At 37.9% G+C, this 20,198-nt stretch overlaps 1 long non-coding RNA gene and 3 other non-coding genes across 9 annotated transcripts in view; 3 read left to right on the top strand and 1 right to left on the bottom strand.

The window, feature by feature from the left end:
- LOC105373347 (periphilin-1) overlaps positions 1 to 20,198 on the bottom strand; it is a 90,847-nt gene that overhangs the window by 23,096 nt on the left and 47,553 nt on the right. The gene's annotated exons all lie outside the window — the stretch shown is intronic.
- On the top strand, positions 11,773 to 11,887 carry MIR508 (microRNA 508). Its single transcript, NR_030235.1, has one exon. It is a non-coding gene; the product is annotated as a microRNA 508 (primary transcript).
- MIR507 (microRNA 507) lies at positions 17,723 to 17,816 on the top strand. The gene has a single exon (NR_030234.1). It is a non-coding gene; the product is annotated as a microRNA 507 (primary transcript).
- On the top strand, positions 17,957 to 18,080 carry MIR506 (microRNA 506). The gene has a single exon (NR_030233.1). It is a non-coding gene; the product is annotated as a microRNA 506 (primary transcript).

Below are 20,198 nucleotides of genomic sequence, written 5' to 3'. Positions count from 1 at the left end.
GAGCTTGTATTTGAGCCCAGGCAGCCACTCTACAGTGTCCCCTTTTTTACATCAACTCACTGCCCTCCCTTAGTTTCTTTTCTTCTAAATCCAGCACTAGAATGTATTAAACATTTGATTCAGCTCACAGCTCACAGTTCCTTATGTAGAGCTTTGATAATGGCCCTGCTCACAAAACAAAGAGGCTCTGACAAAACACACAAGTATTCACGTCGGAAGGGTGAAAAGGATCTGGATTGGAATCCAGTGCACTTGCATCCAGGATCTTCAGCCCTCATCAGAGGACATCACGATGTCTGGTTATGTTTGTCTACTAATGTCTCCTTGAGGTTGAGCCACTGGGTATAAAATTAGATAGCAGGTTTAAATTTTTGTACGTACATATAGATACTTAAATTATTTTCATTTACTGGACCACATCCAGGTTTGAGGCTAAAGTATATCCCCATTTTTACATGGTTACATTATTATGAGGGTTAAAACCAGCAATACGTTCTAGTTGTTGGTTGACATTAAGTAGCAGTCCTCATCTCAAAAAATAGGAAAACCCCACCTTTCTCTGCGTTGCTAGAGAGGGAGGCCTGCCTTCAACCCTGCCTTCTTTCCTTTTACAGTCAGTGATGAAAGCTATACCTAGGTATTAGTTATTGAAACCACCATCATCATGCCATTACTTATGTATTTGATGATGGATAAAGATAAATCCAGTTTTTGCCGTGTTTTATCTTTCTTAATGAAAATATCCATCCCTGTTCCTAACAAATTAGATGAATAAGCTATGCTTATATGTAGAATGTAAAGAAGGGTTGAGTGGGGATGGGTGGGAAGGGCCGATGTCAAATTCTCTACCTACCAGCTCTTTCAGATCTGAAATGTCTATAGATACTGGAGAAATTTCTTGTCTACTCTGTTTTTCCTGTTAATATTCCTACTGGAAATAAAGAATGATGGACAATGACCACAAAGGGGAGTCAATTTGAGGACCAAAGATGATATGGTGAATGTAAATATTTAGAGTCCTGTATTTGTGGATGATGTGAGACTTCTTATAGTTCTGTGAGATGCAGACTTGACTCATATTTTAGGTTACTAGAGGCAAGATGGGACCCTAAATTCTGGAGAACTTAGGGAAGTCCAGTTGAAGTGGCACTGACCTCTTAAACATTCTTCACCGAGCGTAACTTGGAGAGGTACATATTTTTCCAAATTTCCCAACTTCACAAACCACAAAATTTTCCATAATCTGGTTTTTGTGTTCTTAAACCAAGAATGTTTTTTGGTCTTGGAATCAGTTTACCTTCTTCCTTCCATGTTATCTGGGGGCATCTGTCAAGGCCAGAAAAATGAAAATGAAAACACATGAAGGCCTGTGACTCAGTATGAATAGTTGGATAGATTCTCTCTATAACCAGACCTCTGAAAAAAGGCTTAAAAATCCAGGGTGAGAGGAGAAACAGGACATCTCTAGGCTGTCAGCCCATTTTCTTTTTTGAAGAGCAATCCAAGTAAGCTTTATATTTTGTTTCCTTTCTAGAGAAGGAAGAGGTACAGGGGTCTCTGCCCTTTATCTGTTGGCAACTCCTGACTACTACTTCTCTCGCGTGAGATTCCTGCACGTTTTCTATGCTTCTTAGCAGTTTGTTCTTTCATTAAGGTATGAAACTCCAAGGGTGTATTAATTTTCAATATATGCATAACAAATTACTCCAAATTTAAGCAGCTTAAAACAGTACACATTTATCATCCCACAGTTGCCATGAGTCAGGGGTCTGTACATAGTTTAGCAGGGTCCTTGGCTTAAGGTCTTGAAAGACTGAAATCAAGATTTCAACTAGGCTTGTGATCTCATCTGGGGCTCAAGGACTTCTTCAAAATTGGCAAAAAGGTATTTCTTTGCAGCTCTAAGACTGAGGCTCTCAGCTCCAAGAATGCCACTTGCCATTGCTTATCATGTCACTCTATCCACAATATGGCAATTTGATTCTTCAAGGCTGCTTTTTCTTATTGCTGGTCTCTATATCCTCTTTTAAACAGCTTATGTGATTAGGTCAGGGCCACTCAAGATACTCTACTCTGTCTTTGATTAAATCTAATTCAGAAGACCAGTGACCTTAATTACATCTGTAACTTTCCATTGGCTGTACAGCATAACATAATCATGGGAGTGAAATTCTGTGAAAGTCAAAGCTCCTGCTCTCCCTAAAGGGGAGATTATACAGGGCATGTGCATGGGGCTCATCTTCAGGACTATCTTAGAACTCTGCCTTTCACAAAAGGTTGTGGAAATTTCAGGTGGAAGTTTGGAATAGAGAAGGATGATGTAGGTATGTTGATGAATCCTTTCAACTTTGGAGGAAAGTAAATAATACATAAATATCACTTCTAATGAAATTCAACAGATTAACACAGATGAGAATATACCTAACCTGAGTGAGAGAAGAAAAAATAATTATTCTCTCTCAACCGGAAAATCTGCAAATCATGCATGCAGCAGGTGAGGAGATACTAATGCAGGGAGGGATGACAGAGTGAGGGTAACAGGGGTGTATGTTTCATAGGTCTTTTATATAATCTGAAGGGCTACATATGTGCTGGAAGCATAAAGCAACTGTATGAAAGTAATATGATTGGGGAGCATTTGGGCAGGGCTGCTACATTTAATCCTGCTTTGTGCAGTACTGCACTCCAAAAGGTGCTATCAGGTGTACTAAAATATGATAGTCACTTTAATTCGCAACATGTACAACTACATGTGGTGGCCCTGTGGGGAGGTGGTGTGGCTGTCGTCTACACATAGATGTACTCATTTTGGCCAAATTGCTATCCTTGCAGAAGACTCTTAAGTGCCTCTGGAGAGTCCAGACCTAGGATTTGAGGGCCCCTCTAATCCCTCTAGGTGTTTCAGGATTCATTTTTTTTTTTGTTTGGTTTTCTTTCACTGTGTTAGTTTGCTGAGGATAACGGCTTCCAGCTCCATCCATGTCCCTGAAAAGGACATGATCTCATTCCTTTTTATGACTGCATAGTATTCCATGGTGTATATGTACCATATTTTCTTTATTCAGTCTATCATTGATAGGCATTTAGGTTGATTCTATGTCTTTGCTATTGTGAATAGTGCTGCAGTGAACATACGAGTGCATGTGTCTTTATAACAGAATGATTTATATGAATATATTCCTCTGGGTATATACCCAGTATTGGGATTGCTGGGTCAAATGGTATTTCTGCCTCTGGATCTTTGAGGAATCACCACACTGTCTTCCACGATGGTTGAACTAATTTACACTCCCACCAACAGTGTAGAAGCATTCCTTTTTCTCTGCAACCTTGCCAGCATCTGTTATTTTTGGACTTTTTAGTAATAGCCATTATGACTGGTGTGAAATGATATCTCATTGTGGTTTTGATACGCATTTTTTGAATGATGGGTGATGTTGAGCTTTTTTTCGTATGTCTGTTGGCCACATGTATGTCCTCTTTTGAGAAGTGTCTGTTCATGTCCTTTGGTCACTTCTTAATGGGGCTGTTTGGTTTTTTCTTGTGAATTTGTTTAAGTTCCTTGTAGACTCTGGATATTAGATCTTTGTCAGATGTATAGATTGCAGAAAGTTTCTTCCATTCTGTAGGCTGTCTGTTCACCTGGTGATAGTTCCTTTTGCTTTGCCAAAGCTCTTTAGTTTAATTAGATCCCATTTGTTAATTTTTGCTTTTGTTGCAATTGCTTCTGGCATCTTCATCATGAAATCTTTGCCTGTACCTATGTCCCAAATGGTATTGCCTAGAATTTCTTCTAAGGTTTTTATAGTTTTGGGTTTTACATTTAAGTCTTTAAACTATCTTGAGTTAATTTCTGTATATGGTGTAAGGTAGGGGTCCAGTTTTAGTTTTCTGCATATGGCTAGCCAGTTCTCCCAGCACCATTTACTAAATAGGGAATCCTTTCCCCATTGCTGTTTTTGTCAGGTTTGTCGAAGATCAGATAGTTGTAGGTGTGCTGAGTTATTTCTGAGTTCTCTATTGTGTTAACTTTTTTTGAGTACATTTTGTGTCAAACATAATTTGTTGAAGTGATGAGAGGTTTTACTTCTCAGACTTTTGGAACTGAATAAATATTTCATAGACTTTTATTTCTCTTCTTAAGGAATCCTATCTTAATTCAGCTTCCCCTAAGAGACTAGCAAAGAGAGAAAAACACAGATAACAGACAGCAAACATTTCGCTGTCCTGGACACCATTGCAGGATTGAAGAAGTTAGTGGGAAGTACTTTGTGTATTGTGTGTTCTCATACTGGGAAATTAGGTATATCCAGACGTACCCAGCCTTTAAATCACAAAAGAGCATTGAGTTGGCAACTGATGTTTGTCACTTTTCCTGTTTATTCCCAGCCACTTGTCTCACTTTATTTTGTGTGTTCAGCTTTTGTTGGTTTGCTATTTTGTTTTCACTGATGTAGGGTTTTATATTGTTTAGAATTTTCAGTATTTTTTTTCTTGTTGTAGTTATAATTGTTTGGGTTTACTCTGTGTGTGTGTGTGTGTGTGTGTGTGTGTGTGTGAGAGAGAGAGAGAGAGAGATTCTCTGAGTCATTTGTTTTCGTATTTTTTAAATTTTCTTTATATGTTTTGGGGATTCTTTTGCTTGAGTTTGCTTTTATTCTTTTTATTGTTGATTTTACTTGTTGTTTGCTTGTTTGTGAGTATTTTCTTTAGGGTTTTGCTCAGCAGTGAGTCTCAGATATTCTGGAAATCTATAAAACTGTTAAAATGAGTACTTTGAGGTTACTAAAAGAGAGGATGGAGAAAAAGAAGAAGGAAGGACATTTGGGCTTGGGATGGTTGAAGCAGAGTAATATTTTTGCATGTTTTTGCCATTATTTTCCTGTGAAGAGTTTTTTTAAAATCAGCTTTTGGAAGTACAACTTACATACGGCAAAGTTCATCATAATTATTTGTACGATTTAATGAGCTTTTACAAACATATTTAATAATGTAGCTGACACTTCAATATTTCTGCCACCCCCCCAAATTCCTTTACGTCCATTTGCATTCAATTGCCTTCCCTCACCTTTAGACCTTAGAAACCACTGATCTGCATTCTACCCATATAGTTTTCTTTCCAATAACTTCAGACAAGTGAAATCATATAGAATGTAGTCTTTTTATATTTGGCTTTCACATAGCATAATGTACTTGATATTCATGAAGTTCTGTGGGCTTCTTGTTATTACTATATAGTATTCCATTATATGGATGTATCACAAGTGTTGTTTATCTATTCACCAGGTGAAGGATACTTGCATTGCTTCCAATGTGTAGCAATCAAAAATTTAACTGTTATTAACATTTGAGTACATTGAGTTTTTTTTGTGTGTGAACACACATTTTTATTTCTCTATGGTAAATAAATACCTGGGAGTGGGATTGCTGTGCCTTACATAGATGTATGTTGAATTTTATTAGAAGCTGTCAGACATTCAAAGTGGCTGTACTATTTCACACTCTGGAAATATGTGATATCTCTAGCTAATCCACAACCAACATTTTCACTGTATTTTTGTGGGTCTATATCTGGACTCCTTATTCTGTTCCATTAATCTCTTTCTCTCTCTCCTTTTGCCAATACCACATTGTCTTGATTACTATAGCTAAGTCTTGAATCAAAATATTAGTCCATCTTTGTCCCTATTTTTTTTTTGAGATGGAGTCTCGCACTCTCGCCCAGGCTGCTGGAGTGCAGTGGCGCAATCTCGGCTCACTGCAAGGTCCGCCTCCCGGGTTCACGCCATTCTCCTGCCTCAGCCTCCCGAGGAACTGGGACTGCAGGCGCCCACCACTACGCCCGGCTAATTAATTTTTTATATTTTTAGTAGAGATGGGGTTTTACTGTGTTAGCCAGGATGGTCTCGATCTCCTAACCTTGTGATCTGCCCGCCTCGGCCTCCCAAAGTGCTGGGATTACAGGCGTGAGCCACCGCGCCCGGCCTTGTACCTATTTCTTAAATTGATTAGGCTATTCTTATTTTTTTGTCTTTCCATAAACATTTTAGGGTGTTCTTGCCACAAAAAGCCAACTGTGTGAGATATTATAAATTGTTTGCATGTGGTAATCATTTTACTTTATATATATCTATACCAAAACATTTTAATTATACCTTAAACTTACATAATAAAAATATAAATTTTCGAATAAAGTTGTTGATATTTACAAACATTTCTAGTTAGAATTTGATTAACATTGTGCTGAATCTCTGGATCCCCATGGGAAGATTTGATATATTACAACACTGTTTCTTCCAATCCATAAGCACAGTATATTTCTCCACTTATTTACAGCTAACTATGTAATTTTTGTTCTAGATTAAATGGTATTATTTAAAAATTATTACAATTGTTCATTGCTAATATGTACAAATAATATTTACAGTTTATTTTCCATCTCTCAGGAATTACTGTCCTTCACTGCCTGATTTCTGGTAAAGTCTTATAAACTGTTGTTCCCTATATTTTGTCAGTTTTTTAATTGGTTCAGGTCTGAGGATAATTAGTTTCCTATAACCCCATTTTGGCTGTAAATGCACAACAAATACACATGGATGGTAGCACTGAGACTGGGTGGTGTTTATTAGCATGCGGAGAGCTGCTTTCTTTGGAGCCTAGGCACCCTTCCTCCACTTCAATACTGGTCGGTCTATCTCAAAAAACTTTCTTAAGTGCCTTCTAAGATGCAAAACATCAAGACTAAGATCCCATAGTTGAAGCCTCCAAAGTAGGTGATTTGGTGATTTACATTTCTTTCTTCAAAAATGGCCTGACCAAATAGAAATAAGACTTGTTAAGGCGAGGTGCGGTGGCCCACGCCTATAATCCCAGTACTTTGGGAGGCCAAGGTGGGTGGATCACCTGAGGTCAGGAGTTCGAGACCAGCCTGGCCAACATGGTGAAACCCTGTCTCTACTAAAAATACAGACATTAGCTGGGCGTAGTGGTGGGCTCCTGTAATCCCAGCTACTTGGGAGGCTGAGGTGGGAGGATCGCTTGAACCCAGGAGGTTGAGGTTGCAGTGAGCTGAGATCACGCCACTGCACTCCAGCCTGGGTGACAGGAGTGAAACTCCGTCTCAAAAAAAAAAAAAAAACTTGTTAAGAGGGCCAGTCATGATGGGTCATGCCTGTAAGCCCAGTGCTTTGGGAAGCTGAGGCTAGAGGATCACTTGAGGCCAGGAGTTTGTGACCAGCGTGGGCAACATAGTGATACCCCACCTCTACAGAAAAAAAAAAAAATAAATAAATAAAAATTAGCCAGTCATGGCAGACATGTCTGTAGTCCCAGCTACTTGGTAGGCTAAGATGAGAGGATCGCTTGAGCCGAGGAGTTTGAGTCTGCAGTGAGCTATGATCATGCCACTCACTCCATCCTGGGTGACAGAGCAAGACCCTGTCCCTTAAAAAAGAAAAAGAAAAAGAAAAAAAGACTTGCTAGGAGAACATAGCTCCCCTGTTTGTTTTATCACTGTTTGTCTTCTCTGTAGAACCCAATTTTCTCTTTCCCCCCAAACTCTTAACCATTGGTCACCTGACAGTTCCTTTCACTCTTTTCAAAACTTTCCTTTCTTTCTAAATTTTCTCCAGCTGCTCAGCTTCCTCCATATGTACACCAAAACTCTGAATTATTTCATGTAGCCTAATATCCTCTGGATTCATTCATGTAGTTGCAAATGGTAGAACTGACTTGTTTACTAAGGCTGAATAATATTTAATTTGTATGTATGTACCACATTTTCTTTATCTGCTCATCTGTTGTTGATGGAAATTTGGGTTGCTTTTATATTTTGCCTATTGTTAATGATGCTGTAATAAATATAAGAATGCAAACATCTCTTCAAGATTCTGATTTTAATTATTTTGGATATATACCTAGGAGCCGGATTGTTGGTTGGTTGGTATAGTTGTGCTGTTTTTAATTTTTTGAAGAACTTCCATAGTGTTTTTAAAAATGACTATACTAATTTACATTACCACCAACAGTGTACAAGGGATATGGTTAGGCTTTGTGTCCCCACCCAAATATCATCTTGAATTATAATCCCCATAATCCCACTATGTCAGTCAAGGGAGAGACCAGGAAGGGGTAATTTAATCATGGGGGTGGTTTCCCCCATGCTGTTCTCATGATAGTTCTCACGAGATCTGCTGGTGTTATAAGTGTTTGGTAGTTCCTCGTGCATTCATTCTCCTTCTTGCCGTCTTGTGAAGAACGTGCCTTGCTTCCCCTTCCCCTTCCACCATAATTGTGGAAGGCAAAGTGGAAACAGCCTCCCCAGCCATGCGGACCTGTTAGTCAATTAAACCTCTTTCTTTTATACATTACCTAGTTCGGGCAGTTCTTTATAGCAGTATGAAAATGGACTAACACAACAAGGATTACTTTTTCTCCACACCCACCAACATTTATCTTTTTTGAATTACAGCCATTTTAACAGGTGCAGTATGATTCGTCATTATGGTTTTGATTTGCATTCCCTAATGATTCCTAATACTGAGTATGTTTGTTTTCATATACCTGTTGGACATTTGTGTGTCTTTTTTGGAGAAATTTCTATTCACGTACCTTGTCCATTTTTGAATCAACTTATTAAGCCAGTCACAGATGGACAAGTACTGTATGATTCCACTTATATGAGGCATCTGAAACAGTCAAGCACATAGAAATAGAGAATAGAATGGTGGTTGCCAGACACTGGGAGAAGAGGGAAATGAGTAATTGTTTTTCAGTGGATATAGAGTTTTGCTTATGCAAGATAAAAAAAGTTATAGAAATCTGCTGTATAACACAGGACCTATAATTAATTATATTGTATTGTGTTCTTAAAATTATGTTAAGGTGTAGATCTCATGTTACATTCTTACCACAGAAAAACAAAATCAAAATCAAAGGGTCAGAAGGAAACTTTTGGAGATGATGAATGTATCTATCTATTACCTTGATTGTAGTGATGGTTTCATTGGTGTGTCCAAACTTATCAACTGTATATATTAAATATATACAGTTTTCAATCTATCAGTGATACTGCAATAAAGTTGTTGTTTTAAAAATTCTATTGAATCTCTGGGTTGAAGCCACTTCTTTCTTCATAGACCTACGAGTGTTCAGTTCCTTTGGATATACTTTGGATCTTATATGATATTACCAAATAATTCAATTTTCCCAAAACGGTTATTCTTTTCTGACACTTGTACTTTTGTTACTTTTTCCCTCAGGTTTATATGTGAAAAGAATAATGTCAAGGTGGGATCAGTCCTTAGAGAGTCTTATAATGATGAAGTGCTAAGTGAGTTTTTGTATCACATTTTCTGTTTGATGTCTCCACTTAACCTCGTGGATGGGACAGAAAGGAGAAGAGAGAGAGAGAGAGGGAGAGAGAGAGAGAGAGAGAGAGAGAGAGAGAGAGAGAGAGAGAGAGTGAGAGAGTACAAAGAGCACAAAAGAGAGCTGTAAGCTTTAAGTCTCAGAGGCCTGGTGACCATAAGCAAGATAGGAACCTTGTCTGGGAATCGGGTTATATATTTTACCTTCCTGTGTTAGGAAATGGGGCTTTCTGATGCATCTCTTCTTTTAATCCACACCAGGCGGTTTACTTCATAACTTCTTTTAAAGGAAATTTGTTGCCCACCTTAAATGGGAATTTAGGTTAATATCAAGAAGAGGAAGTATCTTCTATTTTATCTACTAGTGTTGCTAACACTGTACAACATGTATCTACTTAGAGTGGTTTTATTTTGCTTCGTGGCCGTATTTTTTTGCTTTATTACTGATTGTTTTAGTTTTGGTATCTGTTTTGGGGGTGGGTTCTTATATTTTCAGAGGTATTTGGAATTATTTGGAGGTTAATTTTTTTTTAATTGTAAAATGTATATAAACATAAAATTTACCATTTTAATCATTTTAAGTGTAAAATTCAGTGGAATTAAGTAAATCCACAGTGGTGTGCAATGATCACCACAATCCATCTCCAGAAATGATTCATTATCCCAAACTAAACCTCTGTAACCATTAAACACTGACTCCCCATTCCCAGCTCTTGGTAACCTCTATTCTACTTTCTGTCTCTCCTAGTTTGCCTATTCCAGGGACTGAATAGAATAAAATCATACAGTAGTATTCCTTTGTGACTGCTTTATTTTACCCAGCATATTGTCTTCAAGGTTAATCCATGTTATAGCATGTGTCAGAATTTTATTTCTAAGCTGGACATGTATGCACATGACTGTAGTCCCAGCTACTCAAGAGGCTGAGGCAGGAAGATCGCTTGAGTCCAAGAGTTAGATTCTAGCCTGAACAACATAAGGAAACCCAGTTTAAAAAGAAAATTATTTCCTTTTGTAGGGCAAATAACATTTCCTTGTATGCATATACCACAGTTTGCATATCACTTTATCTGTTGATGAACACTTGTATTGCTTCTACCTTTTGTCTATTATAAATAATGCTGCTTTGAACATGGGGGCACTATGTCCCTTTGAAATACTGATTTCAGTTCTTTTGGGTATATACCCAATACTGCAATTGCTGAAATATGGTAATTATATCTTTAATTTTTTGAAGAACCACCATAGTGTTTTCTGTGGTGACTGTGCCATTTTACTTTCCTACCAGCAATGCACGGGGTTATAATTTCTTCACTTGTCAACACTTGTTATTTTCTGTTTGTTTGCTTGTTGATAATATTGATTCTAATGGGTGTGAAGTCGTATCACATTGTGGTTTTGGTTGCATTTCCCTAATTAGTGATATTGAGCATTGTTTCACTTATTTATGAGGTAGAATTGATTTTAGAAATATTTTTGTTTGAGTTTTGATTTATTGGTGTGTAGCTGTAGACTTGGGTCATTTTGGACTACTGACACTGGTGGAGGTTCCTGAATGCTGGGAGACCTGGACATGTCCAGATTAAATGTCCCACACCATAATCTCCCTTTCTCTTGCTCCATGGCAAGTAATTTAGCTAATCCTTTAATTTATTCAGTGCACCTCCCTCTCTCTTTACAGTCTTTTGTTTAACTTGGCTCCCTAGCTCTTAAAATATAACTAGTTTGGGGTCTGTGGATCTCTTACTCCTACTTGCTTCCCCCTTTCTTCAGCCTCAGTATTGAAAGGAAAAAATAGATTCCTGGGAGGCCTGTGTCTCCAAATGAAAATTTTGAAAGAGACCCTCTTGACAAGAACTCTAGGAAATGTTGAGAAAGTCCAGGGCTGAGAAGGAAGAATAAGATATAACTAGGTTCTAAGCCAATTGCTCTCTTGGAAATGATTCCAGGCAAGGTAAATGATCTGTATAATCCCCAGGAATGGTGGAGAAAATGAGATTTTTGTCCTATGAATCCTGGCACTGCCTAAATGATCTATCTCTTTTGCTTGAATTCTCTGCATGTTTACCTTGTTCTCTCTGTTGTTTTGGTGTTAAAAGTTAAATAACTCTGAACCAAGGGACTAGGAATTTGGGGGCACAGAGGGTGGGGAGACCTTTAACACTGGTGGAACACAAATCATTTTTAATATGCCATTCCTAATGACTTGAAAATACATAGGAAAATGTTGGTGAGATTATTTGTTGCCGACTGAAGAGAAGAAGTCCTCAAAATCAGCACATGAAATATGCAGCAAGTAAGAGTATCCTCACTAAAGGATGGTTAGAGAATGGGAATGGAGTGGCAAACATACTAGAAATTCTTCATCGTATCTAAACTTCACGTATATATTTGGGTAGAGCCACCACCTTCAGCTGAGTGTAGTGCCCTACTCCAGAGGGCGTCACTCATGTAAACTAAAACATGATTGTAGCCTTTTGGAGTAGAGTAATACACATCACGTAACGCATATTTGGTGGCCATGGGTGTGAGTGTATACAGCCGCATGCACAGAGCTGCCCTCCCTTGTGTCCAAGCACCACCCTCCCCTTGCTGGGCTAACTCAATGGACTCCCATAGGCAGGTCTTGAAAGGCAAATCCTAGGGACTGAGGGCTCCCAGGAAAAATCACCCATGTAGGCTTTCCGGGGATTTATATACCCTTGTCCAAAGGAGGCATGCCCACACAGGTAAGAAAATTTGTAGTGAGGATGTGGCTTTTCCTCTTTTTATATTCAGAGCTTCTACTGCTACAGAGCCCAACTATTCATTTTGCCTTGAAAAACCTCCAACGTATTTTTCCTCACAACATTTCTTTTAGCTTCCAAGCCTTTTCATTTCCCAGTGGGCTCTTCAAATTCCCTCCTGCCTCAGAAGCATCCCTCTGCACCAAAAAGCTCTTGCTCTTTCAGGATTGAAGACAAGCCTTTCCTTAAGAGTTTGTGTGTTCTTCCTTACTTGGAAAAATACATTATTTCCAAAATTATCTATCTGTTGGTTAAAAAAAAAATATATATATATATAAAATATTTATGTATATATTTTTAAAAAATATTTATATGTATATTTTAAAAAATATTTATTGAAAATATGTGTATATCAGTCCTTTCTAAATTCAACATATCTATAAAAGGTTAAGAAGTTGCCTAGAATATTTGTTTTGTTAGTTTTCTTTGAATTATATTTAACATTTTATTTTTAAAATTATATGAAGGAATAAAAAGAAGTGAAGGTATTCATCTCAGATTATTGAGAATGATAACATATATATTTGTCTTTTCCCTTCCACTTCCCTTCAGTTGCTCCTTCTTAACCTAAGGTCTTCAGAAAGAAAACTTGAGAATCACAGACAAAAGATGGCCAGCGCCGGATCCCTGGAGAACATCTTCAGACTGGAGCAGTGACTAGGAAGCAGGTTGTACACACTACGGTGCTGGAAAAATGGAGGTGGAGTGGGGTTGGAGGGTAATCATCCTGGTGACCCCTTCCGGATTAATTCTCATAAAGCACCTTAAGTGGGCAAGTTGAAGTTTATGGAATTTTGTTGTCATCTCGAGTCAGTGACATGTCTCACTCCGTTCCAAATCTTGGCAAAAATTTAGATTGTAATCAAGAGGAAGGGTATTCTTCTCTTATATCACTAATACTACTACATTATCGCCTGTGTACAACCAGTGTCTACTGCTCATGGTATCTTCTTCCCTATTTCATGAGCTCTAAGAGTTTTCCTGGGCAGAAAGTCTCACCACCCTAGATGTGTGTCTGGGGCAGTGACAGTGGCACCACTGCAAATTGTTCTCAAATTTGTGCTTATTTTTGAGAAGGTGTGAGTTTGTGTGTGAGTATGTGTGTGTTGGTTTTTACAAATGAGTTAATTTAGTTAGTTGATTCGTTCATGTGCATATTGTGGTTGGGTTTGGGGGGACTTTTCAAATTGTTTTTGCTTAGTAATATTGTTTATCCAGACATTGGTAACTGTCTGATTTTGGTTTTGTTTTTGTTTTTTGTGATATTATTTTGTTTATAATTGTCCTTTCATTTCCAGTCTCTGTGCATTTATTTTTCAAAGTTGGTTCTTCCTTTTTAGGTTTATTTGTTTATTTTGTTTGCTTGTATTATTATTTTTAACTGACACATAATCATTGTACATATTTTGGGGGTACAGTGTGATTTTTTATTGTTTGCAATTCAGTGTTCATGGCACCTCTGCTTGTTGTTTCGTTGCATACTTGAAGTTTTTTTTTTTTTTTAAGTTAGAATTGTGGTTTGTGTTTCAGCAAATGTTTTATTCCTGTTTCGGGGGGAGGGGGCTGTCATGATTTAATTATTAGTTGTTGGTTCCAATCTGAGTTTTCTTCTTTGGTTTTGATTTGGTTTTAATTTATGCGTTTGGTTTGATTTGTACTGAGAGGTGCTTGGGAGTTGTTTTAGTTGTAGTTTCCTTTGTGTATTTAGACATGTTTGTTTCTTTCCTGCTGTTTTGCTATATCTTTCTTTGTTTTATTCTCTAGTGTATTTCTATTTGCTTTTCAGCTGACTTTTTGTGTGTATATGTGAGTGGGTGGGTGGGTGGATGGATGTGGGTGTGTATGCGTGCATTTCTGTGATTATTTTTGAATGATGTTGACTTCTTTAAAGTATTTTGTTATTTTCCATGTATTTTTAGTTTCAGTTTGTGTTTATTGTTTTATTTTGTGTGTGTGTGTGGGGGGGGGGGGTTCTTCATTTTCCTTGTGTTTTGGGATATTTAAATTTGTATGAATTTTGTTTTGTTGCTGTAGTTATTTTTTCCCCTTTAATTGTGTGGGGCTCAGAAAGTTTTGTCTTTCATATATATGTGCGCTTTATTGGGGATGTGTTTTTTTTTTTAAGTTGTGGGAGTTTGCTTGGATTTTAAATGTTTTGCCTCAGTATCTGTGTGTATGCTTACATGGTTTGGTATTTGCAACATGCTTTCTAATTGATAAGTTCATGTATTGATTCTGTTTGGAATTTGTTGTAGTTGATTTATTTATTTATTTTAATCCTGTTTGTTGAGCTTTTCTAATTTGGGATGATTGTTGATAGGGGTTTAAAAATATATTATTGGTTTACTTTTTAGTTTTTATTTATTTGTGCCCTGTTTTTCTGATTCATTACTTTTTAAAAAATCATTTATAGAAGTTTTGGTACATAAGGCTAAAATTTCTTTCTTTTGTTAGGGATAATTTGCATTATTTGTTGATTGATTTTTTTTTTTTAGCTTATATGGTTTTTTTGAATTGTGTGTATGAGCATGTGTTTGTTATTTTGAGATTTTTGTATTGTGATAGCTTTAGTTCTTAAAAAGCGTCGTTGATACATGACTGACATAAAGTTTGCGCTTTGACATATTCTGTTTATACACCCATGAAATCATCCCCTAAATCAAAATAAATAGGGAATATTATACATCCTCCCTGAAAGATTCCTCCTGCCTCTTTGTGATCCTCATTTTCGGTCTTCTGCACATAACCACAGAGCCATGCAGCCACTAATCTGCTTTTATTCACTATGGATTAGATTTTATTTTCCAGATTCTTATTTTTTATTTTTTGAGATGGAGTCTCTCTCTGTCACTCAGGCTGGAGTGTAGTGGCGTGATTTCGGCTCACTGTAAATTCTGCATCCCAGGTTCAAGCAATTCTCCTACCTCAGCCTCCCGAGTACCTGGGACTACAGGCGCACACCACCATGCTGAGCTAATTTTTGTATTCTTAGTAGAGACGAGATTTCACCATGTTGGCCAGGCTGGTCTCAAACTCCTGACCTCAACTGAACCTCCCACCTCAGCCTCCCAAAGCGCTGGAATTACAGGCATGAACCACGGTGCCTGGCCAAAATTTTTTATTAAAATGGAATCATACTGTATATACTGTTTATTTTGGCCTAGCTTATTTCTCCTGGCATAATTATTTTGAAATTCGTCCACATTGTTATTTGCATCAATAATTTATTTGTTTTTATGGATGAGTAGTATTCCACTGTATGGATATTCCAGTTTTTTTTAAATGCATTCACCTGTTAATGGCCATTTGTCTCCAGTTTATAGCTATTTTGGCTTTGACTACTAGAAAAGACGTAGCTATGAACCTTGATATAAAAATATCTGTATGGAGAGGCAGAAGGAGAGAAGGAGAAAGAGAGGGGAGGGGAAGAGGAGAAAGGGGAGAAGGGAGAGGGTGGAAGAGGGAGAGAGAAGGAGAAGGGGAGGGAGGGGGAGGAGAAAGTAGAGGGGGAGGGAGAACCAATTCCTGGAGCCCACAGGAAGCACGACCTGGGAAGCAAGGTGTAAATGTTACATGTCCATATCAGAGGATGGGATAGAATTTGATAGTCTGCTGCTACATTATCTCCCAGGAAAGCTCTTTCAAATCATGTCTTTCTTGGTGTCTAGTTGGCAACTGATGATGTGTGTGGATTTTGTTTTTGCAGTGGCCAAATACCTCACTTCACCCAAAGTCATGAGGAAATACAGGCTGTAGTGAAGAGGTGGGAAACTGTTCTACTTTGTTTTCTATCATTGTTTATTATGATACCTCATCTGTTTACTTCTCAGTGTCCACTGCTCTCCTTCCTACACTCGCAGCATTTCTCAGTGCAGTGTCGTCTATCCCTGATACGTGCTAGATTTCCTTTGAACTTCGTTCTCTGTTTTGTTTGGGATTATTGGAAAGTAAAGTTACATTTTAGTGTATTTGTTTTTATGTTTTGGGGGTTTTTGTATTGTGTATGTTCTTTTTGATTTTTGTTATTGTATTGCTTGTTTGCTTTTTTAGGGTTTTTGTTTCCTGTAGAATTTTGTATATTTGGATGTGTTTTGTATATTTTGTGTGTTTTTTTTTATTCCGATTTTGAATGGTGTTTTTAAATGTGTGTTAATTAGAATTTTCAGTAGTATTTTTACATTCTTAAAAATTGTTACTCCCGGCTGGGCACGGTGGCTCATGCCTGTAATCCCAGCACTTTGGGAGGCCGAGGCCAGTGGATCTCCTGAGGCCAGGAGTTCAAGACCAGCCTGGTCAACACGGTGAAACCCTGCTTCTACAGAAAATACAGAAAATTAGCTGGGTCTGGTGGCACATGCCTGTAATCCCAGCTACGTGGGAGGCTGAGGCAGGAGAATCGCTTGAACCCAGGAGGCGGAGGTTGCAGTGAGCTGAGATTGTGCCATTGCCCTCCAGCCTGGGCAACAAAAGCAAAACTCTGTCTCAAAAAAAAAATTGTTACTCCTTTATTGTTTTTTTAGTTGACACATAATAATTTGTAAATATTGATGAGATATAGTGAGATGTTTTGATACATACATGCATTGTGTAATAATCAAATCAGGGATTTAGTATTTTCATTACCTCAAACGTCCATCACTTCTTTGTGGGAAGAACATTCAAAACCCTCTCTTCTAGTGATTTTGGAATATACCATAAAATATTGTTAACTAACTATAATCAATCACTCTTCTGCACAATAACACATCAGAACTTTTAGCCCTCCTAACTGTGACTCTGTACCCATAAACCAATTTTTCCCCAACCCCCCTTTCCCTTCCCTTCCCCAGACTCTGGTAACCATCATTCTACTCTCTACTCCTATGAGATCAACTTTCTTAGACTCTGCGTATGAGTCAGATCATGCAGTGTTTGTCTTTGTGTTTGCATTGCCCTATTTTGTGAGCATTCGTTTTGGGGTTGTTTGTTTCATTGTTCACATGTTTATTTGCATGTGTGGCATGCATGTGTTCACATGTGTTGCAGATATTTCTTGGTCTAAACACTGGTTTGCAAGTGCATGACTGTGGTGACTACTGCTTCTGCTGCTGTAGGCCTTCATCTCTGAACAGAGGATGCCAAACCAAGGCCCCAATGATATAAAGAAGATTCAAATTGGAAAGAAGAGAACTCTCCAGCACTGCTTCAACTGAGCTCTATCTGGCCTGCAATCGCTAGATATGATGAGTCACTTGAGTGGTCCTTTCTATGTAATGACTGGCTTTTGAGGCATATGAAGTAGTTGTTCATGTGCCAACTATATTAAATTGAAAATTAGCAGAACAATTTAGTGAAGTATGCTAAGTCTGGGAGGAAGAGGGAAAATTTTCTCTCTCCTAAAATCTGTCTCATTAAATGTGCAGCAGGTGAAGTAATTAATAAGCATTCAGTGAAAGACATAGGAGACAAAAGGGAGAGGAAAAAGGGTTTGTTTTTTTTTTAATCTATTGACTATATTCTGCTTATTCCTAGTGGACTGAGAGTGTTGGGATTCTGACTGAAATGGCGGAGTGAGGGACATTTTCCGCTGTGCTGTGTGTAGTGCTTCACTTCAAGAAGTGCCATGCATGTGTCTAGAAATATGTTTTGCACCTTTTGGAGTGAAATAATGCACAACAGATACAAGTCAGAACTACCCACTCAGTGATGGGTCAACTCATACAACCCTTTAAAGAGAATTCTGTGGGGTAAAACCTAGAGGATGAGGTTCTCTGGGAATAGCCTCATCTGTAGTTTCCCCGTGTTACTATTAAGATGGTCAGTGCCACCACCATCAGCCATACTATGTGTAGTGCCTTATTCAGGAAGGTGTTACTTAATAGATTAATATTTGTAAGGCACCCTTCTGAGTAGAGTAATGTGCAACATGGACAACATTTGTGGTGGCATTGGTAATGACGAGTGGAATTTCAGTGACAATACTGCCCTCCCTTGAGCCTTGGTACCCAACCTTTAGTGATGAGCCATTTCCAGGTACTCTCTGAAGTACCTCTTGAGAGATCTGCTCCAGAATCTGAGGGTGCCTGGGAAAAGTCTCTCATGTAGGTTTTTCAATTATTTATTGCTTTTTCTCCACAAAATGACTGACTACACTGGAAACAAGATTTGAGGTAGGAACATGATACTTCTTTTTCTCTTGTACCTCTTAGTCTTTTCTCTCTATAACAACCCAAATACACTTCTTGCCTTATAAACCCCTGAGAAGTTTACACTGATCTTCTTTCCTCACAATATTTAAGCCTTCTTTTTAGGGAGCACAAATATCCTCCTGCCCTTCCCTGCTGAACTCCAAACTCCATGAACCATCTTTCTTATGAAGTGATCTCCTCAAGGCTTAGATACACTCAAATTCCCTTTAATATTCCTGTGTATCCGTGATGATAATCTCATATCAGTGGAGTTTGATATGATACCCCAAATTTGCTTTCATTTGAACTATTTATATGTTTTTAGCTGGTCTTAACTATTATGGGAACGGATGAAGTGATGAGAACATATATGTATGAACATGTGTGTACATATACTTCTGGAAACTTTACATATACAAAGGGGTTTATATATCCCTTTATATATATATATATATATATATATATATATATATATACACACACACACACACACACACACACATACATATGACATTCACAGAAAAAGGAAAAGGATGCAGAAAAAGGATCATGTTCCTACCTCAAATCTTGTTCCCAGTGTTTTGTAGTCCTTTTGTGGAGAAAAAGGAATAAATGCTTAAAAAACCTACAGGACATACTTTTCACAGGTACCCCAGGCACCCTCAGATTCTGGATCAGGTCTTATAAGACCTTCAAAGAAACACCCAGGACAATGATTGAGCAAATATATATGTATATAATTATTATAGAAGTCTATTTTTAAAATAAATCCCTTAAGATATTTATTATAAGGATACTGCAAGGAATAACCTCAGGCAACTATGGAGGCTGGTGAGTTCCTAGATCTGCAGGGGGATGGGTCAGCAAGCTGGGGACCCAGGAGAACTGATGGTATAGTTGCAGTCCAAGTCCAGAGGCCAAAGAAGCAGTAGAACAAACCATTTTGTAGTTCCAGTCCAAAGGCCAGCAGGTTTGAGACCCAGGAAGAGCTAATGTTTTAATTTGAGTACAATGCCAGAAAAAAATGAGATGCCCCAGTTTGGAGGCAGTCAGGCAGGAGGAATTCTCTCTAACTTAGGGGAGAGTCAGCCTTTTTGTTCCATTTAAACCTTCATCTGATTGGTGCAGGCCCATCCATCCACATTAGGGAGGGTGGTCTGCTTTACTCATTCTACTGATTTAAATGCTAATGTCATCCAAAAAGACCTTCACAGAAACACCCAGAATAATGACTGACCAAATGTCTGGGCACTCCATGACCCAGTCAGGTTGAAATATAGAATTAATCATCACAAGTTCACTCCTTGTCATGTTGTCACTTATACGCATCTCCTTAAATTATATTTAATCATCAAATGAGAAAAATACCAAGGTCATAATTTCATTTAATAAGATACAACTACCATTTATACAACCCAGAATTCATGAACCACTTCACCAGAAGAGGAGATAAAGTCCTGGAGTGTTGTTTGTTTACTCTTCTCCTTGGTGTTCCATAACATCAATACTATGATTATTTAAAGTTAACAACGGTTAATAACTATGATATAATATCAGTACACCTTACGTTACATGATAAGGGGATAAGAGAGACAAGAAAACACAGAAGTATATTAATAAAAATATAAGTAGAAAATACTCATGGGAACTACAATTCTCATTTCTGTAACTGTCATCTGGTGTTAGCTGGTATTTACAACTACTTTTCTTCACTACCCATTTTGTATTCCCTTTGCCTTCAGCAAGCACCTCAGCCATTATATTTTACCTGGTAGAGTGACCCAAACTTTCATTTCTGAAGGGTCTGGGCCATTAGTAGTCCTGCCAGGATTGGGTTGTTGTAGTTTTCTACTGACCTTAATCACAAGGCATAGTAA

The sequence above is a fragment of the Homo sapiens genome, chromosome X (assembly GCF_000001405.40).
Source record: "Homo sapiens chromosome X, GRCh38.p14 Primary Assembly".
Classification (NCBI taxonomy): domain Eukaryota; kingdom Metazoa; phylum Chordata; class Mammalia; order Primates; family Hominidae; genus Homo; species Homo sapiens.
Note: the sequence above shows the minus strand (reverse complement) of the source record. Positions and strands in the feature narration are given on the sequence as shown.